The sequence below is a fragment of the Homo sapiens genome, chromosome 2, assembly GCF_000001405.40.
Source record: "Homo sapiens chromosome 2, GRCh38.p14 Primary Assembly".
In the NCBI taxonomy this organism is placed as follows: Eukaryota; Metazoa; Chordata; class Mammalia; order Primates; family Hominidae; genus Homo; species Homo sapiens.
The window spans coordinates 239,125,450-239,151,215 of NC_000002.12; the positions used below are offsets into that span (position 1 = coordinate 239,125,450).

A 25,766-nucleotide genomic window follows, 5' to 3' on the forward strand; every position below is an offset into this window, starting at 1 on the left:
AATCAGACCTCTTTTCTTATGAATCACGCAGTCTGAGGTATTTCTCTACAGCAGTGCAGGAATGGCCTGAAACAGGGACTCAGGTTGCTGTGAATGCCTGAGTGAGTTTACGTGTAGATGTGTGCTTTCATCTCTGGCCGCAGAGCTGTGGGGCCATGTGGTGGCTGTGTCCAACCTTTTGAGGAACTGCTGGACTATGTTCATAGCAGCTCATCTCATCTCTTACCTTAAAGATGCTCTATGTCAAATGCCAGCATTTGATCAACACGTAATCAGCATGTTAGTTTTCCTCTTCACGAGCATCACAGTGCTAGCCTTGCCTACTACCTCCTCCTGAAAATGGACTTATCTGAGTGACTTTCAAGATGTCTGTAGGTTATGCAGACCTCTGTGGGCTGGCCGGGGCCCAGAACCAGCTCTGACAGTGTCCCTTCGACTTCCTGCTGGAGTTCTGCACCTGTACAACTGCACCCGGGCCCCCCGGCCCTGTACGCTGCTTACCCTGTACGCTGCTCATGCACTCAGGCAGGCTGCAAGTGCCGGATGGCCTGGGAGATGGGCACTGTGGGTTGCTAGTTTATTTAAAGGTATGTTTACTAAATGGCCTTAGGAAACCCAAGAAAAAAGTGTTGCCCAAGTAGACTATTCCATTCGCTGGCACTGATGCACCACAGGCAGGACGTGGTCCAGTGGAACTCACATGGGCTGGTGGGAGAGGGCACTGGTCCAACGGAACTCACACGGGCTGGTGGGAGAGGGCACTGGCCCTGCGCGTCCCACTCCCTGCAGGTGAACTGTTCCTGAGCCCAAGCTCCCAGCAGCATCCCTTCTGCCCCTGCCCCTGCCCAGCTCTGTGCTGTGGGCCAGAGCATGTGCCTCCTCGGTTCCCTCTTTCTGCCTCCTGGCCTCCCTTAAGGTCAGAAAGGGGCCAGTGCTGAAGCCTGAGGCTGAAGCGCACAGCACACAGCCGCCCTGGGGCCTGGGAGCGCTGAGCCGGCAAACCCACCTTGTTCATCTGCAGTTGCTGCTGCTGGAACTGCTGCTTGTGTTTCTCCAGAAACTGCTGATGCTGCTGCTGGATGACCAGGTGCTGCAGAGCCTGGGCGTTCTGGGGCAGCGGGGCCGACTGGGTCCGCCCCAGTGGGCGGTGCTGCCGCAGCTTGTGGATGGAGGGGGACACCCGGTCTGCACCAACCAAGGACTGTGCGTGGAGGGGCAGTGCTCCCAGGCCTGAAAGATACCAGTCTGAAGATAATTGGAGGAAGAAACAGCAGAGGGGAAGAGGAAGAAGAGAGGAGGGAGAGAGGGCTATTGAGTAAGTGATGGAGACAACTGCGCCCTGTGCCCGCCAGCCCAGGCGTTCTGCCCTGGTGCCCCAGAGCTGGCTCGCTAACTGGGCCCCTTCCAGCTGAGGCTGGGGGCCGTGAGCTGGTGCTTTGGGACTATAGGAACCATAATTTGGAGGCAATTTTCTATGAAAATCAGGTCGACACAGGAAACGTCAGGAGTCCTGTGTGGCAGGTTTCAAAGAGCAAGCCCTTCCCCAGAGTGGCTACCACACAATTGTTCCTGGGGGCCACAGGCCCTAGAAAAGTGGGTTTTGGTCTGAACAGCACGGTGGGAGGGGAGAGAGGGCCACCAGTGTGCTGAGGAAGGCTGCCACGGTTCTGGGAGCCTCCACATATTTCCAAAGACAGCCTGAGTTGTGAGAAAAACAATTGTCCTTAGGGTTGACATCGTTTTAAGGTCTCTTCGAGCACTGATTTTATGCACAAAGATGGCGTAAACATTTTAAAAAGTCCTTATGCATATTGTCAAAACCCCTTTCTGAAAAGATCTGGCTAATCCCTGCCAGCGAGTGGAGGATGCCCACTTCACCAACCCTGTATGTTTTGATTAAAAGAATCCATTTTGATAGATGATCTTGCTTTAATTGGCATCTGTATCTTGATTTACAATGCAACCTAGTGAAGTACATTTTTTCCTTCTGCATGCGTTCATCGAGATATATATAAATTGTTGGTTTAGGTCGTTTAACATTTTTCCATGGTTTTGTGGGCAAAAGGATCTAACGAACCCTCTGTCCTGCTCTGTGAATATCTGTTCCTCTGGTAACCTGAGTGGGGTAAACACTAAACTAAACAATGCTGCTCAGGATAAAAATGACCCTGACCCGCTCAAGGGCATCTGACCGGGTGAAATGACAAAGGAAGTAACCACACCAGCTCTTGGAGGCCCTGGTGGGGGACTCTTTGGAACTCGGCATCCGCCTGAGGCAGCCTGCTGTTCCTGCTGCCAGGCGGGGCTACATGCCTGCTGCAAGGGCTACGGGACCTCCAGGGATACCAAGGTGGCCCTGCCGGCAAGTGGCAGCTCCTGTCCTGTCCCTCCCCCAGGACACTGATGCCAGGGCTCGCAGGGCAGCTGGGTGTGTCATCAGGTTTAGTGGAGTCCAAGCCTCCCAGTGAGAGCCATGCTGCTTAGTGCTTCTCAAGTCCCTTTGCAGGGGCTATTTCTAAATTTAAGAAATACTACGTGATATGCAAACACAAAGGACACATCCAGACAGACTAAACCCAGCAAGACCCCAGCAAGGCTGCTCTTCACTACCTTTTCAAAAGTTATTCACTAGTGTTCTCTAAACCACCATCCCTTTTCACCCAACCCCACAACTTTCCGGAAAGACATGTTATCTTAAATTTTATCATCAATGCTTGGCTATTAAATTACAGTGAATAACTAAAAATCCATTCAGAATCATTCCCTGAAAACGTAAAAAAAGAAAAAGGTAAACCATCCTAAAGAAGGCATTTCAGGCTGGGCGCGGTGGTGGCTGTAATCCTAGCACTTTGAGAGGCCGAGGTGGGTGGATCACCTGAGGTCAGACTGGCCAACATGGCAAAACCCCGTCTCTACTAAAAATACAAAAATCAGCCATGTATGGTGGCACATGCCTGTAATCGCAGCTACTCAGGAGGCTGAGGCAGAAGAATTGCTTGAACCTGGGAGGCAAGGTTGCAGTGAGCCCAGATAATGCCACTGCACTTCAGCCTGGGCGACAAACGAGACTCTGTCTCAAAAAAAAAATAAAAAAAAGAAGGCATTTCAGAATTTTTCAATTGTTGACGTGTGTATTACGTGGGATTGAACTACTTCACGGAGGAAATAAGGAAGTCAGTCACACAAAGCTGCTTTCAGGGGACGCAAAGGCTACGTAGTTGCTGGAAAGGTCTCTCCTCGGAAAGCAATGGGAACCTGAAATACATTTTCCTTAGCGTTGTTTTCCCCCAAAGCCTCAGTGTGCACACCATTCAGGGGTGGAGGCGGTGATGAGCTGCACAGTCCCCTGCCCAGGCCTGACCCTCTGCAGAGGAGAAGGACACGCCAACTTCATAGGATTCAGCTTCCTGGTGTGACACACGGTAAGGAACAAGCGACTCGAGCCAGCGGTGTGAGTGGGGGCTACACAGCGCTCCCAGGCTCCTTCTGGTCCAGGGCTCTGCCTCCCGCCATCCTCCGCATGGGCCCAGGAATTTCCCAGGCCACCAGCTTCACACGGGGACACAAGCCTACGCCCCATTGGAACAGGGCTTCATTTTCAGAACTGGTGTGAGCAGAGACCCCTGTGCAGACCGGCCCTGTTCCTTTTCCAGTTGCACTCCCCACGGACCAGCCCCTCACTCTCTCTCAGCCTATCTCGCCCACTCAGAATTTCACTCTGCTGCCTCCAGGGTGCAAAACCCAGGGCCGCCATACACAGGGACACCCTACCCCTGGGTATCCTTGAAAAGCAGCGCCCTGACCTCTGCATAGCAATGCTATTTGCTGGCAGGGTGGTTTCCAATTTGGATCCCTGAGATCATTAACAAGAGCTTCTGATGACAGACCATGATGTGGTCTTCAGGATATGCTGTCAGGGACTTTTGAGCATAAGTCCATCAGGACACAATTCTGTGGTCGGTGACCCAGCTGCAGGGGCTGGCTGTGTGGTGCTGGGCGGGGTGTGGGGCAGAGCCTGGCTCCTGTGGTCCCAGTGGCCCCCTGCTCTGGGCTCCTCCCCTGGGCATCTTAGCCAGGGTTTTTCCAGCTTCTGCTCTTTCTGCCCTGAGCACTGGCAGAAGCCCTTCCCTGTGCCCAGTGCAAGGGCAACAGCTGACCCTGGCTCCTGAGCTGACCCTGGCTCCTGGTGCTGGACGGCTGTGTCCCTATGGCTGCCGGCTCCTGCTCCTCCTGGAGGCACTTGGGGCTGGGCCTGAACTGTGCTCAGTGGCCAGCTCCCCTGGAAGTCCATACTCTAACACACAATCACAATAATTGCAATGACAGTTCCCGAGTGAGCATGCTGGAATGCACCCAGCCATCCAGGGTCTAAGTTTAGAACACCCTGCTCAGCAATACCCAAACTAATTAGTGAGTGTGCAAATGCATCACTTAGACACACCCCACCAGGTATGGGGATTTAAGAAAAAAGAAGGTGAAAGACTGGATTGCTCTCAAGTTCCGGACCCAGTTTTGAAGAGCGGGTCTGCACACACTGGGATTCTGTTTAGGTGATGAATTCACATGAGATGAACAATTCAGGGTGCCTGAGTCCTTAGAAGTCCATCTGGTGTATTCCATTGCTTTTTCTGCAAAATTCTTTAAAATCCTTCCATTGAGAAGCAAACCAGGCAAGAGTTAGATCCAACTCACAGTTTGCAATCCCGGCCGCCCAAGGGAACAATGTGGGTGCTCTGGATTCGCTTGGACCAATCAGCATCTGTTTGAGCTTCTGGGGATGGAGCTGAGGCCAGGCCAGGGCTGAGGACCACAGCCTCGCGTGCCAATTATAGGACATGAACCACGGCCAGCTGTGCTCAAGCCCTTCCTGGGACTCGCTGTTTTTTGGGGAAATGAGGCCTAAACAGTAGCATGCCATCGCTAACACAGAAGCCAGGGGCACCCTCCACTCAGCATGTGACAGCGGGACAGTGGGTCTCCACTGCCAGCTCAGGAAGGCTACGTAGCCTTAAGACGCTGGTGGCATGCTCTGTTTCAGGATGCTAGAAAGATCTGTGACAGGGCCACCTCCACGAGGCATACACATCTCCCTCCACCTGTCCTTAAGACGCTGGTGGCATGCTCTGTTTCAGGATGCTAGAAAGATCTGTGACAGGGCCACCTCCACGAGGCATACACATCTCCCTCCACCTGTGCCCTTCCCTCTCCGCCTGCAAGCTCCTACTGAGATCTCAGCTCCGACGCCACTGCTCCGGGAAGCCTTCCCTAGGCCCACCTGCGGCACAGCCCTGGTCTCCAGCCTTCTCCTCCACATGCCTGTACTACCAAGCTCCTCCTGGGTCTTGGGGGGCCCTGTCTCTCGGGTCCTGACAGCAGATTGCATGGTTCTCAAAGTCCTGCTTCTCAGCCACACGGGCATCATAAAGGACTTAGCTGGGCTGTCCAGGCAACAATCATGCCCACAGTTTTGCGTCCAACTAAAGCAGCAGCACAGGGCTCTGCACAGACACTTTCCTTCTTACCCGGGAATGGGCTCCTGAGCTCCACTCCCCGCCTCAGCTAGTTATGCGGAGACTAATCTCCGAGGATGTACCAGACACTCTGCAAAGATCTGAGTCCACAGTGACCACGTGCGGAGTGCCGCACTGGAGCAGCACATGAACAGGGACATAGAAGAGGCACGCCCAGCCTGTGACTGGCGAGGAACTGCCCGGAGCGGTGCGGAAAGGGGCTGACTGGAGGTATGTGGCGTGTAGGAGGCAGCTCTGGGAGACCCTGGACCATGGCTCACCCCTCTGGTCTCTGACAGTGACCTCACCCACAGAGGCCTCTGTTTCAAAGCATTTGTGGCTGGAGGGCTGTTCTAGCTTTGATATCCTATACACCTATGCACCACGATTACCAGCGATAAGGTGGGTCTGTCTGTGGGCCAGGAAAACACAGGCACTGCTGTCCAGGAGACCAACTCAAGCAAGAGTTCGTCAAAAACTGCAGGAAAGGGCAGAACATGGAAACGAAGATGCAGTGTGATCCAGGGAAGGAGCAACAAGGCAGGGCTGGGGCAGGGATGGAAGCCTGGGATGAGGGGGCAGACGAACCACACCTGATGGGGAAAAGGGCCCTGGGAAAGAGCCCTGGCTCTGGGGGCTGGCTGCGGTCTGGTCCAGCATTGAGCCGGCTGGCCTGGCTGCTGTACCGGACTAGGGAAGAGAAACGAGGCTTCTAGAGGAAGGCTGGAGTTCCTGCTCACAAGCTGGGACTTCACTCCAGGCCAGTGCCGCCCTGCCAGGACCTTCTGTGACAATGAGAACATTCAGGGGACAGCCGTGGGCCGTGCACTGGATGTGGTGCACATGTGACTGAGAAACTGAATTCTAATTCTGACTTATTTATTTAACAGCTCCCCGTGGCTGGTGGCTCCTGACCTGGCCAGTACTGCTCTAGACAGCGTGGGGGCCTCCAGGCCTTCAAGGAGAGTCCGGTGGATACAGGAGGACAGACCGGAGGGGAGGAACCTGCACAGGAGGCTTCTTCCCACAAGAAGATGGGGCAATCCCAGCGGGTTCCAAATGAGGGCCCTGCTCATGGCGGGGCTGGGGGAGGGCCCCTGAGACACTGAGGACGGACAGGGGCTGGCTGGGGGAGTGAGAGAGCATGGGAGGTGGCAGGTTAAGAACAAGGCAATGACTACAACAATGATGCCAACACCTGCAGGGGCACATGAGTGCACAGCCCACTTAACCCTCATCAGGCTCACGGGGGCGGACCGCTTAGTATCCCCACTTCCTAGATGGGAAAACAAGGCACACAGAGCATAAGCGGCTTCCCAGGGTCATGGAGCAGGAGAAAGCTGGGACAGAGGCGGCTGTGTGGCTGCACTACGCTGCACACGTGACACTGGCTCCGAGGCTCCCTGCCAGGGGGTTTGCAGGATGAGCTGCTGGCAACCTGGGGAGGCTGTGCAGGAGAGAAGGGGCTTGCAGGGTTTTGGAGGTGGCGGCATAGGACTGGAGGGGCTTGCTGGGCACAGGCGTAAAGCAAGGCCAGAGCAAGCTGGGCAACCATGCATGGGCCCCCTGGTGGCACAGAGCCTGGGCAGGGCACGGTGGGCAGGTCCCCATGCCAACGAGCAAGCTGCACCTGGGAGGAAAAGAGGGATGAGCGCACACAGGGAAGAAGCAACGCCGAGTTCAGTGCGTTTCTCAGAGAGGTGAGACCCATGCACACTCGATATCCAGGTTCTATCAAAAAGGCTGTTTTCCAAAAACCTGATACACAAGATTACGCATGCTATTTAATCGTGCAGAATAAACTGATTTAGAGAAGGAAAGAAGATAAGTGACAAACATCTCTGACGAAGTGAATCCCAGGAATCCTGAAGATCAGGCACATTTTACGTTTTTAAAGACAGGCGAGAAACTCAGGTGTCCTTCACTACCCACACTCGTGCCAGCTGATCTAGAGCATCCAAGAGACTCAGACGCAACCTCAGATACATTCCTCCAGAGAGATCCGCGTGCCTGCCACTGTGGCCGCAGCTCAGAGAGGCACTGTGAGGGCTGCCCCCTCCCTCGTTACACCACGGGCTCCTCTGCTCTGGACAGGCAGGGACACGAATTCAAGCTTCTGGAGAAACAAACAGAAAGGGGCTCAGGCACAAAACAAAGATTGCGCCATTTGGCTTCTGGGCAAAGAAGGAATAAGAAGGAATCCTCTCTGTCTAAACAGAGACACATGGGCAGCACAAAACAAGAAAACACCAAAATCCACCAGACTAGTCAAGCCAGAGGCCCAAGCCCACCCAAGCCAGCCCCTAGCCCCACGCATCCTGCAGCGCAGCCTCCTACAACACGCCAAGCCCCTGAGTTTTCACCAAGTTCACTGCCAGAGTTTCACAGGTGCAGCTCTGAGGGTATTTCAGCTTTCAATTGGCAACAACAGGTTTCCAGGAAGCCAAACACAAAGCTATGAAGATGTACAACGATGACCCGCACGGCAAGGGGGTAGGTAGCTGCTCCCTCATTTATTTATTTTTGAGACGGAGTCTCGCTCTGTTGCCCAGGCTGGAGTGCAGTGCCACCATCTCGGGTCACTATAACCTCTGCCTTCCAATTTCAAGCAATTCTCCTGCCTCAGCCTCCCAAGTAGCTGGGATTACAGGTGTGCGCCACCACGCCCAGCTAATTTTTGTATTTTTAGTAGAGACGGGGTTTCACCATGTTAGTCAGGCTGGTCTTGAACTCCTGACCTCACGTGATCCGCCTGCCTCGGCCTCCCAAACTGCTGGGATTACAGGTGTCAGTCACCGTGTCCGGCCGGTGTGCCCTCATTTCTGAAGTGACACTTTCACATTGCTGTTGCTATGTAATTTCATAAGGACGTTCCCATTTTCCTCTAAATTGTATTTTTCTAAATGTAACCACTCCCCCAGACAGTGCACATTTGTAAAAGTTCGCTAACACAAACTGACCACAAGAGTCGGTTCTGGGCTTCCAGCGCTGGCTCAGCTTGGTCCAGACAGAAACCCAAATCGCAAGAGCCGGTGGCCTCTCCCAAAAGGTGAGAAAGGGGAAGTGACTTCTGTTTCCACTCCATCTACCTGACTCTGGGAGTGAGGCATGGATTTTCACTGCAGTCACGGTGGCTACATCACGTGATGGGGATGTGTGTTTGGGAACTGTGGGGGTGGGACAGGCGTGCATTCCTGTCTCCTCCAAAGGCAGGCGAAGGCGGGGCACCATCCAGAGCGTGGGCAGCCTCAGAGCCTGGCTGCACCCAGGCCCATTTGTGCTCACCTGTGACGAGGGGTGCTTGTGCCGGCGGCTGCTCCAGTAAGACCATGTGCTGCAGAAGAGGGCTGTGCGCTGCCCCTCCGTCCCGCTCCAAGGGCGAGGTGCTCAGGTAGGGAGTGAGGTGGGTGCCGGGGAAAAGGGAGAGCCTCTGCTGGAGGGCGGGAAGGGTGAGTCTCTCGGCGTCCTGCTGGCCCGCCGTGCCCTGGAAAGCACAGCCAGGATGCTCGGGTGGAAGGACCCATCACCACCACCCCACACCACACGGACCCACGGGGGCTGACTTACCGCAGAGGGGCCGGTGGCAGGCAGGCCCAGCGTGATGTTGGGCAAGGATGGCGATGTGTAGAGGGGAAGTGGAGCGGCCGAGCCTTCTCGTGCCACAAGTCTGTGCGCCAAACTCGTCTGGGGACAGAACACACGATGACCATCACAGTCTGTCACGGCCAAACATCAGCAATATACACCAAGAAAAACAACGATGAAAACACCTGCACTGAATTCTGATATATGAGCGTAAACGTACATGTAACAAATGAGACAGCAATGAGAGCATGAGATTTCAACACGTGCCACAACATGAAAGCACAATTCACCACTCCAGTTTCCTCCTCCCGATACGAGTTCTTCTTCTGTCACCTTGTCCAGCATCATCTCGTTGATTTCTATTCAGTTTGATTATTTACCACAGAACAGTTAGAAGGAAATCTAGGCTAATATAGTTTACAATGCCGTTTTGCAGTTTCTAGGATAATATAGTTTACAATGCTTTTTTGTAGTTGGCAATGTCTTTCCAGACATAACATCAAAGGCAGAAAACAAAAAGGAAATAACATTTAACTGTACATTTAAAAATAACTATAAGGGTATGATTGGATTGTTTGTTACACAAAGGATAAGCACCGGAGAGGATGGACATCCCACACTTCGCATGACGTGATTATTACAAATTGCATGCCTGTATCAAAACATCTCATGTACCCCACAAATATATACATTATGTACCCACAAAAATTAAAAATAAAGAGAAAATCATAAAACAACTGCCTCTACGAAAGGTGGGCAATGATGACAATACTGGCCATGTATGAGGCAGACGAGGGTCAGCACAGAGAGCTTGCAAATCAAACAACTAACAGTGAGAAAAGCACGCGGTGAGGACCAGTGACGGCAGAGCTCAGGAAGGGGAAGGCGCTCAGGAAAACACATCATGGTCATCAAAAAAGGTATTCTGAAACCCAACAAATTGGCAAACACTTTTGAAACATGGTAATACCATCTTGGCCTAGAGGAACGGCGAACACTGTTGGGTGAATCACAAATCAGTTAGTGGCACCCTTTCTGCAGGACAATTTGGCAATCTATGTCAAAGGCCTTCAAAATCTGTCTAACCTTTGATGCTGGAGCTCCACTCTTGGGATGTAACGTTAAGAAATAAGGAGATGGCCTGATGCCCATGAAGCCTCCGCTGCAGGGCCGAGCACCCAGCAGGCATGGCAGAGCTATGCGGCTTCCCCGACACCTTGGTGTTAACAGAACGGAGGGGCATTGCACACCGGGATGCTCTGGGGGTTGGGAACGATCTAGCTGATTACTTGGACACTTGTTTATGATACATTAAGTTAGAAAAACAGGTTATAGATCATGTACCTTTTAAAGAATGGGCTTGGATAAAGCAAACACAAGCCAGGAGTAAAGATTAGAAGGCCACACAGGAAGAGTCAGCAGCAACAGTCTCCAAGGACTTGAACTACTGTGATATTTAACATCTTTTTGCTTGTAGAATGAACGTGTTTTGCTAAAAAGGACAATAGTTTATCACCACTATATCCCCTACACAGTAGCTACTCAAGGAATGTCTGCTGAATGAATGGGCAAACAAAGAGAAGGAATAAAATGTTGTTGTAATCATGCTAGTTAGTGGGGTTTGGCAGATAGAAATCCCCTTGCCAGAAGCTAACGTTAATAATGAATAGATAACAGATTTCATTATACTCTCTACCTCCATGACAGCAACGTTTTTAGCTCCCCCAGATGAATGAGAAAATGCCATGTTTGTCTTTCTGTGCCTGGCTTAGTTCACTTAACATGAGGGCCTCTAGTTCCATCTATGTTGCTGCAAATGTCAGGGTTCTATCCTTTTTGATGGCTGCATGGTATTCCACTGTGTACAGCACCACATTTTCTCTGTCTATTCATCCACTGAAGGACACTGAGGTTGATTCGACCTCTTGGCTATTGTGAAAGATCCATGGCTAAGACCTCAAAAGCACAGGCAACAAAAACGAAAACAGGCAACTGGGACTCTGCTCAACTAAAAAGCTTCTGCACAGCAAAGGAAGAGAATCACCAGAGTGAAGAGACGACCTGTGGGAAGGGGAAACATGTGCAAGCCATTCATCCGACAAGGGAGCAGTATCCAGAACATGCGGGAACTCCAGCAACTCACCAGCAAAACCTGAAGCAGCCAGTATAAAAGTGGGCCAAGGATCTGAAGAGACATTTCCCCAAAGACATATGACTGGCCATTGGGGATAGGAAGAAACGCTTCTCCTGACAAACACTTACACTCAGGCTGTTCCTACAGAACAGAAAGCCCGGCCTTCTCACTTAGGAGCAAACTCACGGCGCACCTCGCCCCAGAGGAAACCCTGCAACTCCCTTTAGATTTGCTCACATATTACATTGTGTAAGGAATGATTAAAGGGCTACTGAGGAAAACATTTTTCCTAGGCAATTTTTTTTTTGTCAAAAGTTAAAGAATTATCAGTAAGTTATGCTGTAGAGGAAATGCTTGTGTTATCATTTGGGAACAAAATAAGGAGACGTTCTAATGTTTGCAAAGTTTTCATTTCCTTTGTAAGCAAGGTTTTTTTTAAGCCCATTTCTGGAACTAAAGGAGGCTTCTGAGAATTTGTTCCTTGGAGATGCCGACTGGTCCACCTGAGAAATCGCAGGGCGTTCTGGCATCTGCTGCCTCGGGGCCGAGCCCTGCGGGAGGCATTCTGAGGCTGGCGCCCCCGGACCGCATCTCAGCATGTGCTCAGAGGGAAAGTCCGCGGGCCTGAGGTCAGAGCATCCAGGCACGCGTGTAAATAACAGCAGCAGCGGCCACAGAGGAGCTGTCCCCTTACGCACCTGGGCGACTTCCTCTCACTCTCTGAGCCCTGCCTCCTCCCTGTAGAGGAGGTGCCGGCACACTGGGCTTCCCTGGCCTGTAGAGGAGGAGGTGCCGGCACTCTGGGCCTCCCTGGCACTGTAGAGGAGGAGGTGCCCGGCACACTGGGCTTCCCTGGGTCCAGGGGGCCTTCAAGGTACAGTAGTGTTTCTAGGGACCCCAGGGTGAACAGAAAAGGCAGTGCTGAGAGCCAGGCTGGGAGGCCCCTGCTCCCCCCACATCCTCATCCACTCGAGACACCCCCTCTGACGGGCAAGCTCACTACACTCTGCACCACGTGAGAACGGAGAGCCAGCCCCTGGCCATGAAGCACAGGTGTTCTCACAGACCCGTCCAACTCTAGAGATACTGAAACCCAGAAAGGGCGCCTGGGTGTGATCCAACATGCAAAGGCTGCCCGTGCCCACTCTAATGAACATCTGATGTGGAACATGAACAATGGCACCTCTTGGTATTTCCTGTAACTCCTTCTACATGTTCTATTAATTTCCAGTAGCTTCATTTACGTATCGTGATTTCTAAAAATTAACACAGAACTGGAATGATGCAGACCCACCCAAACAAGGCACTGTTCCAATATTAACTACCATGTACATAAGTGCCTCATTTTAAATAAAAACATGTATCTAGGACCACAATCAACAAGATGCAACCAGTGTTAACCTCAGGGCAGGAAGTAATTTCTAGGTTGCATTATAAGGCTTATTACTGGTAGACCTCAGCTATGACCACAGCCATACAGAGGACTGTTAAAACTTCTAATCATCTAAATAAGTACTGAAGTTGGCAGGCTGAAGAAGACAGGTAATAAAAGAAATCGATGTATGAAGTAGAAAGAGTAAGAGAAATTGGGGATTAAGCAGCCTGGAGACAAAGGGCAAAATTCGTTCTGAGCAGTAATTCTAGTCTCTAAAAATGTTTATACATAAACGGTCTTGAAATTTGAAATGAAAATGCTAAACACTCATGCCTCTGTATCCCAGCTAAGATTTGCCAATCCTTTGGAAGGGCAGGATTCATTTCTAAATATTTAAGAAGGAAAGTCAATAACTATATTTAATAAATTATAGCCTTCTGTAAGTTGGAGAGAATTCAGAAAGAACCTCCCACTCAGTAGAACTCTGCCCCATGAAGCAGACACAGCATTTCCAGCTCAACTCATCAGAAAACTCACTGCTAAAGCGTACCCCTCCCACCCCTGCCCTGCAGTCAGGCCCACCCAGGCCCAGGGCACCACTCAGCCTGCGGGACTGCCTCTCTCTGCCTCTCTCTTCTTCCCCGTGCTCTGGGGGTGGCCTCTCCTTGTCAGTGGGGCATTGTGTGGAGTGTGGGGCAGGTCCTTGCTGCCTGCCTGGTTCTGTCCCTGGGCCTGGCACAAGGCGCTCGGGACACGTGTGGGATAAAGGCAGGGGGCGCAAAGGAGCTCAAGGAACACGGAGCGAGGTCCTCGGACCTGCTGCCCTGGAAAGCCTCCGAGTATGGTCAGTGTGCGACTCGGCCAGCCTGGGCGCCACTCCTCCCTGCCTTGCCACTCAGCTCCTGCGTCTCTGACATCTTTCCCACCTAGGGACTCCAAGCGTCCCCTGACTCCTCTCTAGCTTGCCAATGTCCCTCCCAGACTGTGGCACCACTTGGGGTCTGATGAAGGCAGGGGACCAGGGGTGCTGAGCTCTGCGGTCTGAGATGCCTGGTTCCCGTGATGCCTGGAAAAGTTCCCCGCTCTGTGGCTTTGGCCGGCCCTGCCATGCTGACCACGGGTGACGCTCCAGTCGGCCCTGACACATAGTTTGTTGGCCGACATCGTGTTGTGTATTTCTCAATACAAAATAAAAAATGTTAAGTCTCACTTAGCAACTATACCCACGTGCCCACGGCCTCTCAGCCACCCTCAGAGCACTGGCGACCACAGCGAGCTGGGCAGCAGGGATCCTGTCCACCTAGAGCACCTGCCATGCGTGGGCTTGTGCTGGGACACCATCTAGTGACATCTGCTCTGGAAGAGGTCAGGAGAAAGGACCAGGCTCAGGGCTGTCCCCGACGTGCCTGGAACTAGCGTGTTCATAATGAAAGGAGATGTCTGTGATGAGAGGAAGGCAGGAGAGTAACCTCCAACTGCGTCCTTTTTAGGATGGCTCACAGGCCACTTTCCCTCACCCCAAATTGGAAGGTGAAGAGTGAAGGGCAAGTGCAAAGTGGGGTCATTTCAAGCTCATCCGTCCCGAGTCCGACTCTAGCCGTAGGACACAGGACAAACGCTTCGCACTGACCTCCGCCGGGATGCTGGGGACGGCGGGCGCGATACCGTTCTCCGCGCTGACGCTCCCGGAGCTGTTGTTGGGTGAGCTGGGTCCGGAGCCTGGGGCGCTGCTGCACGCGGAGTCTGCGGAGGCAGAAATACCCTGGTGAGTGTTACTCCATGCGGAGGGAGGGCCGTGCTGACCTGTGGCCCGAATGCCCGGTGCCTTCCACGGACCTGCTCGTTAGCTTGCGACAGGCAGAAGTCCCAACAAAAAGAACATGGCCATGGTTTCAAAAAAGAAAGTATGATGCTGATTTCTGATTTTCCAGTTTTGCCACTGACTTCACTTTTTCTAGGACATGTACGTTACCAATTTTATACCTCGTTTGATTTTCAAGACAATTTTAAACACCAAAAAGATAAATCCTTAAACACTTATTAGTGACCTAACAACAGAAGACCAGAAAATGCAGAAGCTAAGTGACTTTGAAAAGCAAAAGGTCAGCTTTCCTGTGCTCACTATAAAAAGCTTAGTTCAAAATAAAGCAACCTACTATTAGTGTTCACTCTGAGCTGAATCCTCTCATTTTCCCTACATAGCAGCAAGCATCCAGGGGAAAATATAGCCAGTGTCTCCTGAGATCTATCCGTGCTACTGGAAAACACACGCTCGGACAGTCTTAGAGGATCTTTAACCATCGGTGCGGCTTGACCCTGGTTAATGAGACCAGGTTCCGCTCTGACTGAATGTGACTTCCAAAAGGGGCCACGTCCAATCCAAAGATCCCTTCACCTCTGAAGGGGTCTGCTGCTATTTTGGGCACACACATCCACCGTGGGAGGCCGCTGAGGCTCTCGATATTCACACAAGGATTTGTTTGGCTTGTCATATGTTTAGTTTAACGGCATTTTAACAATGGCATCATCTGGTTAAAGCTTTCCAAAGAAAACACAATGTGACCCATTTGCCTCGAGAACTCTAGGCGTCTGCTGTTCAGCAACGACTCTGGGTGCTCAGAACCTCGCCCCAACCTATATGCGCAGCGCATACAGGTCAGAAGGAAGGGACATGGTGGGGGCCCTGGAGGGGAGGTTAAGGGATGTTTTCCCCAAGCAGCCCCTCAACGGAGCCATCCCCAGCAAAGCCTCCTCCACGGTCTGCTTGCTGCCCGCGTCCTCCTGGAGCCCACGAGGACGCAGGTGCCCACTCATGCTGACTCACGTGGTATCCACGCCTGCTGGAGGTGGTGACTCTGCAAATATAGCCCCGAGCCACAGTGAGGAGGATGAGGAGGGTGGGGGAACAGGTAAAGCCACCCACAGCTCCCCCAACCTGGCAGACCTGATTCCAAACTTTGCCTTTATTAGCTCATCCATCTCTCAGTCACTGTTTGAGGAAGGTGCCATTATGACCCCGTTTCCCAGAAGAGGAGATGGAGGCATGGAGCAGCAACATCACTCGTCCCAGGCCACGTGGCTTGAGGGAACTGTCATGGGCGTCTGCATACCAGAGTTAACCCAGCTGGGTGGTGAAGGCGCACCTCCTCTGTTGACCACGCTGCCCACCAGGAACACCCTGGGAACATCTTGCCCTCAACAGCAGGGCAGTCTAAACCTCCCAAGGGCAAACCAGGGTGTCCACCCAGAAGCCCTACACCAGCCGCTCCCCATGGCTCTTGGAGCTCAAAAGAGTGTGGGGTCAGCTCACTGTCCTGGGCATTGAGCATGAATACAGGACTGGGTCCCGACCCTACCCCATCCTCTTTCTTTCCCTGGCCCTCTCACCCTCTCACTTCCACCAGACACTAACTCCAGAGGTAGGCTTCTCCCGCTGCCGAGGCCATGTTATTTGCACTGTGAGTGGGCATTCTGAGAATGCCACCTGGGCTGAGCCAGTGTTTGCATTTCACTCAAGAAAGCAGGACCCGCCTTCTCCAGGCCCCTCCAACTCTCCCATCTCTGCCCCACCTGCAGCCCACCGTAGCCCACCCTAGACCCCTGCTCTCTGATGTCAAGCTGTCTCCAGCTACACACCAAGATCCAGCAGATCTTCCCTGTAATGGGTGCCTCCCAGCTGTGTCGTCAGATAAATACCCTCACGCATGTGCCTGGGGAGTCCGGACAACTTTTTGGGGCGGTAAAAATTATATGTGTAACTTTCCACCCACTTTTAACTCAACGAGGTTAATTTTATTTTTTTGCATTCTACTTCCAGGAATAGGTCTAAGAAAATTCATATAAATGCATAATCTTCATAGTATTACTTAGATCAGCAAAACGGGAACACCATTGGAGGTGCTCAAAAGGCGTGTGGCTGAAATTGAGTGGAGAGGGATGCAGGATGGCGCAGGAAGATGGTGAGAACTCAGCTGTGAGGAAGGCGCAGAACATGGGCTGCGGGAAGGCGTGCAGAGTGAGAGAACTCAGGTGTGAGGAAGGCACAGAACACGGGCTGCGGGAATGTGCAGAGTGAGCAGGATTCACTCTGGACAGAGTGCGTATGGGAATGCATTTTCTTCTTTGTGCTCTACAGTAGACACCCAATTAATTAGTGACTGAGAAAAAGCAGAGTATCCACCTGGCTCTCTTTCTGCCAAGAACCGCGACTGCCTCCACCGCTCCATATGGGACCACCCTGCCTAATACCTGTCTTCTGGAAATCGGCTCCACTCCTCCGTGTGGGACCACCCCGCCTAGAACTCCTAATACCTGTCTTCTGAAAATCAGCTCCACTCAGAGCAGCCTCCCCATCGTGGCAGCTCCCTGGTACCAGTGCCGGCCAGGAGATGCACAACCCTCTGCCTCTCTGCCCCAGCCCCACTCACCCGCCAAGTCCCAGTGCAAATGCCACCTTCTGCAGAGCTCTGCTGGCTTAGAGTGGCTTGTGCTGATCTCCCAACTCCTAGGTGCCTCGGCACGGGCTCCCTTTATGCCACAGCTCAGCACTGATCACGCCCTGCCACGCATGGCTCCTGGGTGAGCTCAGCACTGATCACGCCCTGCCACGCATGGCTCCTGGGTGAGCTCGGCACTGATCATGCCCTGTCACACATGACTCCTGGGTGAGCTTAGCACTGATCAAGCCCTGTCACACATGGCTCCTGGGTGAGCTCAGCATTGATCACGCCCTGTCACACATGACTCCTGGGTGAGCTCAGCACTGATCATGCCCTGTCACACATGACTCCTGGGTGAGCTCAGCACTGATCACGCCCTGCCGCATGGCTCCTGGGTGAGCTCAGCAATGATCGTGCCCTGTCACACATGACTCCTGGGTGAGCTCAGCACTGATCACGCCCTGTGACGCATGGCTCCTGGGTGAGCTCAGCACTGATCAGGCCCTGTCACACATGACTCCTGGGTGAGCTCAGCACTGATCACGCCCTGTCACGCATGGCTCCTGGATGGTCTCACGTGTGATGTGCTGCTTGCTCAAATTACATCACAAGCTCCTTCCAGGGAAGGACTCTGTCTCACTATTTTTGCGCCCAGCCCAGTGCTGACTCAAAAACAGCACTCAGTAGTCACTGGGTGACAACAGGAACACCAGCTTTAACACTCAGAAGAAGCTTGCTGAAGACTCCGTCTCACCCACTGCACACTTTAAAAAAAAAACAACAAAAAAACGCAAAGGTTCACGTGTCCATTAGAGCTGGCCAAGCAAGGCACTGCTCATAGGAAAAAAGGCTGCATTGGAGTTTGAAAGCTTTTAACTCACATGATTCCTCGTTTCAACTGAATCTTCCCCAGTCAGCTAGACTTAGTGAAACTTTAGATCATAACATTTCTTGATGGCTGTAGAAAAGGTCTGTGTGTACTATAATGGCCAGAGGAAAGAAACCTACATCAGAAATGACACATATGGAGTTCCCCTGGGCATGAAGATGTCAGATACTTTTTAATAGAAATCCACAAATATTCAGACCCAGACCCTTACACCGTGGTTAGGAACTCCTCAAGTAGAGAGGGGACAGGGCACGAGAAACAGGCAGGGCCCTGTATTTAGCGGGTAGGTCTGGCTCTCACCTCACTGCTGAAGCAGAGTCCCTGTGTGATGCCAATGCTCGCACACACGGGGCATGGCACCAGGAGCCCCTCCCCGGCTTCCCTAGGTCAACAGCCTGCTCAGTGGAACTGTGCCTTTCACAGACCACCTACCATGAGCCTTGGCCTTCAAGTTGAACACTTTCTGTTGTGCAAACATGTCCGCTGCCTCCCCTCTATCCAGGCCATGCCCAAGCAGCTCCTTTATCCTGGTGCTGTGATTTCAGGAGTGGTGGGGTGAGGGGTGTACCCTGGTGGTGGTTGGGAATGGGTGGTCCTCTGGATGGGGATGTACCCTCAAGAGGGGCGGGTGAGCCTTCAGGATGGGGGTCTGCTCGGTCTTGTCCTTCTGCGTGTCCACCACTAGATGGGGCCAACCGTGACACGTCACTAGGGCCAAGCTGAAGCAACTTCACTCCTTGCTTCCCTCCCTGCTCAGTTGATGGGTGCTCTGGCGTGGGAAGACGTTAAAATGCCCCGGTGGTTCAGACACTGCTCAGGGGCAGCGGAACAGGGCAGAGCATGCGATTCACCACTACTAGGGTGGGACTGGTTAAGACCCACCTTCAGAGGAGCCTCAACTCAAGCTCCTGACTGCATCTCCCGCAGTGCCAAGCTGGGGCACCCTTGTGCACCTCAGCCCACCTAGAACCAGCTCTGAGTCACTAATGCCAGGAGCAGGGCCCGGCTTAGACATGCCGGAGTCATCAAACCTGGTCCCCTGGGCCTGGCACTTCCAGCGCCATGGGAACAGGACCACACTGGGGGTTGACAGCGTGAGGCAGACACGTGGGTTTTCAGAAGCTCCTGAGAGAAATCGCCTATGGCAGGAAGGCCTGGCAGAGAGGGCAGCGGGGCGGGTGTACCTGCTCAGCCGACATACCTGTGACATCCAACGGACGCTTTTTTAGAGCAGTGACCACTGGCCCGTCTTTCCTGCGTAACAGGGGGCTGCTCCGTCTTTCGGCCACTTTCTGCTTTAGCCTGGACCGTAATTTCAGATTCGGTTCAGAAGCTGCACAAAAAGGAGATGTCATTACAGCCAGGCAGACACCACTGGCTCAAGGTTATCCTGTTGGTGGTTTTTTAAAAATACGCACTCTGGTGAGTAAATATTTGCTCAACACTGCTGTGTTGCTGCAGGGGAGAGCGCAGGGAGCTCACGAAGCAGGGGATTCTAAATCCCATTCATCAGTCCCAAATAATGAATAAAACGAATCTGGTGCTTTGGATAAATTTCTGTGGCCACAGCATTATGCAAGCGCTGGCACTGTCTTCACAGAATCAGGCCACCACTGTTTACCAGGAGATGGAAACAGGACTGACAAGCTGATTTACTGGGCGTGGCAGGAGGCTGCTGAGGTGTGAAGTCACTTAATGGCGATGTCTCGTAACTAATGCTCTTCTAGATAATACACCCCTATCTTCATAGCTGTGTTGCTCTAAAATCAGAGAAAGACTGACAGGGATGTGAGGCTGGGCCCAGGGATGTGAGGATGGTGTCCACGTTGCACACTTTCTTGCTCGCCCATGCATCGCCCCAGCTGTGTCAGTCAGTGAGGCCTCCAGAGCGTGAGGCTGCTATCCCCACCCCGACCTGGGGAGGCTCAGCAGAGCCCATCCCAACATCTGCGCCGGCTTCACCTTTCATCTGACCACAGGGTGAAGGTACTGGGCGTGGGTCGGTTTCTGTGAACAGCTCTGCCTGTGTGGACAGAGCCATTTGCGAATCTACACCTTTCAGCCCACCGTGGTCCCCAACTCATCTGCATCTGGAACCCAAACCTCCGGCGCGAGGCCCGCCTTGGGAAGCACTAGGGATCTAAAGGCAGCGACCGGAGTCAAAGAAATCCCCAAACCCACCCGGGAGAGGTTATCGGCTTTCAGAGTCCAGAACAGAGCCAAGAATACCGCCACGGAGACGTGTGTCACACAAGCCTTTGAGTTCTGAGGTTTTACTTGGCTACTTTCAAGATTCTACCACTTGGAGATTTGCACATTAGGGAGATTTTACCTCTTCTTAAAGAATCAGCACTCCTGCTGTTCTTAATCTTTCTGGAACAGGCAGTGCACCGCCTCCAGAGCAACAAGGAATGAGACGGAGTTTCTCCTGGAAGCAGGACTGATGTGGCTGGGCGATGGGGACCAACATGACTTCACTCTTTGGGACGTGCAGACAGCCCAGGACCTTCTCCACTTTGGAAAAGGCTTCGAGTCAGGGACAGTTTTTCTGCAGGTCTTGGAAGGATGTGGGAGAAGCAAGCTCCCTAAAACAGCCTTCCCAGAGAAACCAGAGAGGCGCTGTGAGAAGGTACCAGACTCTAAGCCTCTGCAGGGAGCGAGGCCTCTGTGCTGTGGCACGGGGGACCTGGATGACGACAGATGACGGATTCAGCCACAAGCCGGCCTCTCCACGGGCTACTGACGAGGGCACACTTCTGTGCCTAACACAACCGACCGAGGCAAGCGTAGATTCACAAGCTCCACTTCTATTTCCACGCTGGGTTTCTTGCCATTATTCAAAAGACAAAACAAAACCAAAAAAAACAAGCCAAAAAACCCAACTGATGACTAGGCAAGAAAACAGTACCTCTTCTCTCACCACCAGATCTCCACTGAAACCCACATGGGCTCTGCAGGGATTCCCCGGGCCTGGGACAGGAGCCACTTCTGAGAGGCAGGGGCTGTGTGTGCCCACAGAAGAGCACAGGGTCCCTGGCCCTGTGTGAAAGGTCTTCCTCAGTGGCTGCCCTGCCACATAGAGTGGGACACGTGGCATCGGGAGGCGGGCATGACATGGTCACTCCAGGCTACCATGGACTGGCTGTGGTACTGCAGCCCAGTGCACCGCCTCCCCCAGGCCCTGTGGGGGTCATCACGCTGCCACCAGGTCATCAGTCAGGCGGCAGATCCTCCACAGCCCTGCCGGGCACTCCAGACTCTTTGTGCAAGAGACTCTTGAGGAGAGTCCCATGGTGGCTGCTTCACCCCACCCCTTCCCTCCACTCCCCTCCCCTTCCCTCCTCTCCCCTTCCACAGGCCTCTGCTCCACGCCCCTCCCAAGGCTGCCCTGACCCCCCACAGCCCCACTGCCCCCATCACAGCCCCACTGCCCTGTCTTCCTCACAGCAGCCTTCTCACCATCTGGAATTCTTCTGTCCCCTCACCTGTTTACCCCCTGCCTCCCAGCCTGCACACCTGCCTGGGCTCCCTGATTCTAGCCGACTGCACGTCCCTGGTCGACTCTGCCTGCAGGGTGGCTGCAGCTGACCAGGAGGCTCCAGGACACCATGCCAGCACTGCCAGGGACAGCATGGCATGAGGCTGGGGCCCTCCGCTCGTCCCTGCCCCGTGGGCTATTCAGCACTCTGACTCCCCCGCAGAACCTATCAGACAAGCAGGGTTTTGGATGCGGGGCTCGGGGAGGGGATTGAGCAGCAGCACGTGGACCAGGAGAGAAGGGGGATGCTGGAGACCACCCGGGGCACATGAAGTGGCCTTCCTGGGGAGAACAGAGAAGCCCTAGGGGGCAGAAGGCAGCCGGGGGAGCCGCATACCACGAGGACCGGCTCACTGCCTGCTTTCAGGGTGGCCAGCCTTCCTGCTTCCTGCCCTCCCTCATTACTTCCAGGCCGGGCATCTCATAGATTGACTTAAGACATAGGGACCTACAATATCAGCCCTTCAAATGCATGTGTCTTAAAGCTTGCACAATGCCTGTAACTCCAATAATTCTGCCAAAGGCAGCCAAAGTGGAAGATGCAGGTAAGCCGGCACCTGGTGACTGTGAGGGTCGAGGCTGCACGTGTACTGGCTCAGTGCAGCAGCCCCTTCACCGCCCTCGCGGGCCTTCCACTCATTCCAGGCACGATGTGGCCAGGTGGAGGAACTGCAGAAACTGGATCCCACCCCTAAGAGGGCTGCAGGTACATTGACAGAACCAAAGCATCAGGCCGGAGGCCTCATGGAAGAGTTGCTCCCACCAAGCGTGGGTGAGGGCAGGAAGGATGCCAACTGTACTTCCAAATGCAGTGTCTGCTCCTTAGGGAACAGGGAGCAGGTGGGATTGTTTCTCCTGAAGCCAATCAAGTAAATGACTAATTAAGGCGATACAACATTCCAATCACAACCTTAAAATTCAACGCAGTGCCCAATGCCTAGCAGGTGCCTTCATCCTTCTGCCAGAAGCAATTCTGATGGAGACACAGGCTGGCTCCTCCAACTTAAACATCCTGAGAGTCAGCTGCAGGTGAAGCGGCTCTCAGAGCCGGAACGCTTTAACTCTTAGGGGCCGGGTTTACAGAGGGGACAGGCGTGCACCTGGCACCAGTGTGGAGGGCGGTTTCTTTGTGGGCCTGATGCAATGTCCAGCGGCCAGCGAGGAAAGAACCCATTGATGTAGCATCAGAGAATGCACGCAATATCGCCGTGGGACAGGGCGGGCAGGCAGAACTGCAGAGAGAAGGAGGCACCTGCTTCCAGCTGCTCTGCCCTGAAATCCTAAAGTGACACCAAAGGAAATATTAAAGAGGATAAAGACAAGAGGACAAAAACTAAAGTGCAGAAGGAAGGGGCTGGAGAAAAAGTTGAGAATTGTCAGAAGGGGGAATAAAAGGATAAAAAGATGAAAAATGGGAGTGCAAAGGTCGTACAACAAATTACTGGAAACGCCAGGAGAAGAGAGAATCAGCAGGGTGGAGAAATCATGAGCAGCAATTCCAGGCCTACTTGTCCAGCTGAAGAGGAGCTGGACACGGAGGCCAAGAATCCCCCACCTGCGGGATCCCAAACTGCTTCAGAGCTCTGGGGACAAAGGCTCGGCCTTGAGAACAGTTTTGTACTTGGCAACAGCCACATCGAGGGCAAGACGATGACCTGAAAACCCTGCAGGAAACCCGTCCCAACCAACTGATCATCCAAGAGTGCGACAGAATAAAGTGATTTACCAGCAAATGAGGACTCCAAAAACTCATGCTCCATGCACGACTTCTCCAAGAGCCACTGGAAGACGTGCATGACCAAGATGGCGAGGCCGCAGAAAGGAGGCCACGGAGCCCGGGAGAGGAGGCGGGGGCCAGGCCGGGAGAGCAGACCGTTCACACGCACCGGGCAGTGGGGCCAGAAGCACCAGGCGGCCTGCTGTGCAGAGGAGGGTCTCCTAGGTCTGCTGAAATGTGGGCCTGAATTGATAGCAGGCAGGTGTGAAACTAAGCAAATGAAAAAAATGATCAACTTCCGGAAAAATTTCTACGAGGTGAATGCAGTCCAGGTGGACTCTGGTTCTGCTGTGAACGTGACACACGCTGTAATAACGCAGGCGGGACAGGCAGTCAGGGACGGCCGTTCTCCTATCATGAACATCATGGGGGTCTATGTAAATGTACGTTTATTTACTTCGGTGAAAATAAAAAGATAATTCTGGCCGGGCATGGAGGCTCATGCCTGTAATCCCAGCACTTTGGGAGGCTGAGGCAGGTGGATCACCTGAAGTCAGGAGTTTGAGACCAGCGTGGCCAACATGGTGAAACCCGTCTCTACTAAAAATACAAAAATTAGCCAGGTGTGGTAGTGGCACCTGTAGTCCCAGCTACTCAGGAGGCTGAAGCAGGAGAATCCCCTGAACCCAGGAGGCGGAGGTTGTCTCACTTGGGCGACAGAGCGACGTTCCGTTTCAAAATAAATAAATAAATAAATAAATAAAAAGATAATTCTAAAAGACAAATGACAGACTGGAATCTAACTTCTGTAATACATGAAAACACAGCATTGCAAACAACATATAAACAGTACTTACAAAGGAACAAGCAAAGACGATGCCCCACAGAAGAACAGGTGAACGCACTGCCGCTAAGCAACCTCCATTCAGCACTGATGGAACCGCCTCACGTGCCCTGCGTGGCTCCAGATGCTGGGCACAGGGTGGCTCTGAAGACAGAGCCTGCTCAGGGCAGCCCCGCTGCCCAGCTCCGGGGCACCAGCCACCCTCGACTTTGAAGCACGTTGCTCACGTGCTCCTGGGGAGGGGGCAAGCACACAGCCATGCCCGCCCTTGACTGACGGTGACGGCACTGCTCACTCAAACACCAACAGGCTCGCCATCTTCACCACTGGCCACATTGCCTAGAATGAACTGCAACACCATCCCGCCTGCTCGTGGAGGGGGTGGGGAAAATGGACTCTCAGGCTGCTGGGGAGGGGGTATCATTTGCTCAATGTTTTGGAATATACATACTCTGAACCAGCAGCTCCATTTTCAGGAACCTTTCCTACAGAAATACTAACACAGTGAGGAAAGGTGCTCAAAGTTGCTGGCAAAATGGTAACCAGAAAACAGTCCAACTTATATCTATGTCTTAGACTACTTGAGAGAAAGGCGTTGAGCTTCATACGTAAAAATGGAATAATGGCCACCATATAATATTAATTAAAAATAAAGGTAGAGGAGAAAACGCAAAATGGGTATTTTTGTTAACAAGACAACTCAGATACATACAGAAACACAGGTACACACACAGACACACAGATACACACACAGAAACACAGATACACAGACATACAGATACACACACAGAAACATAGATACACACACAGGTACATACACAGATATACACACAGATACACAGAAACACAGATACAGAAACAGATACACAGAAACAGACACACACACAGAAACACAGATACACAAACACAGAAACGCACACAGATATACAGAAACACAGATACACACCCCACACACAGAAACACAGACACACACACAGATACATAGAAACACAGATACACACACAGGTACACACACAGATATACACACAGGTACATAAACACAGATACAGCAGCAGGAAGTCTCACCACGCTGCACCTCCTCAAGTATATACCACACCTTCACATACAGCAGCAGGAAGTCTCACCGCGCTGCACCTCCTGAAGTATGTACCACACCTTCACATACAGCAGCAGGAAGTCTCACCACACTGCACCTCCTGAAGTATGTACCACACCTTCACATACAGCAGCAGGAAGTCTCACCACGCTGCACCTCCTGAAGTATGTACCACACCTTCACATACAGCAGCAGGAAGTCTCACTACGCTGCACCTCCTGAAGTATATACCGCACCTCCTGAAGTATATACCACACCTTCACATACAGCAGCAGGAAGTCTCACCATGCTGCACCTCCGTATGTACCACACCTTCACATACAGCAGCAGGAAGTCTCACCACACTGCACCTCCTGAAGTATGTACTACATTACACCTTTACATACAGCAGCAGGAAGTGTGGGCACTGCCCATTTCTTCCTGGTCCCACCCCTCTCCAGCAGTTTCTGCAAACTGCATTAGAACAAGGGACAGCAAGCAATGGTCAGAGGCAAACAGAGAGCCCCTTCCCAAACTCAGGGATGAATGTGAGGGTGGAAAACACACTCTGTCCTATTTCACAGTACCCTGAGCCTACTCTACACACAGATAAGAACAAACACTTGTAACTTTATTCAGGTCACTAGTACACAGGGCGAA

The 25,766-nt window shown here is 52.7% G+C and overlaps 1 protein-coding gene and 1 long non-coding RNA gene across 47 annotated transcripts in view; both read right to left on the reverse strand.

Annotated features, from left to right (window-relative positions):
* Positions 1-25,766, reverse strand: part of HDAC4 (histone deacetylase 4) — a 353,482-nt gene that overhangs the window by 77,282 nt on the left and 250,434 nt on the right. For 20 of the 46 annotated variants that reach the window (XM_047446486.1, NM_001378415.1, XM_011512226.3 and 17 more), the window contains 5 exons: positions 19,134-19,265; positions 14,235-14,347; positions 9,078-9,194; positions 8,796-8,994; positions 1,007-1,245 (listed from right to left, as the gene is read on the reverse strand). In XM_047446486.1, coding sequence (XP_047302442.1) covers positions 1,007-1,245; positions 8,796-8,994; positions 9,078-9,194; positions 14,235-14,347; positions 19,134-19,265 — 800 coding nt within the window. The remainder of the gene's footprint in view (positions 1-1,006; positions 1,246-8,795; positions 8,995-9,077; positions 9,195-14,234; positions 14,348-19,133; positions 19,266-25,766) is intronic. The other 26 variants (XM_047446489.1, XM_047446483.1, NM_001378417.1 and 23 more) reach the window with 3 other exon arrangements.
* LOC124908009 (uncharacterized) lies at positions 1,910-8,789 on the reverse strand. The gene is made up of 2 exons (XR_007088257.1): positions 5,191-8,789; positions 1,910-5,096 (listed from the first exon to the last, which is right to left on the reverse strand). It is a non-coding gene; the product is annotated as an uncharacterized LOC124908009 (long non-coding RNA).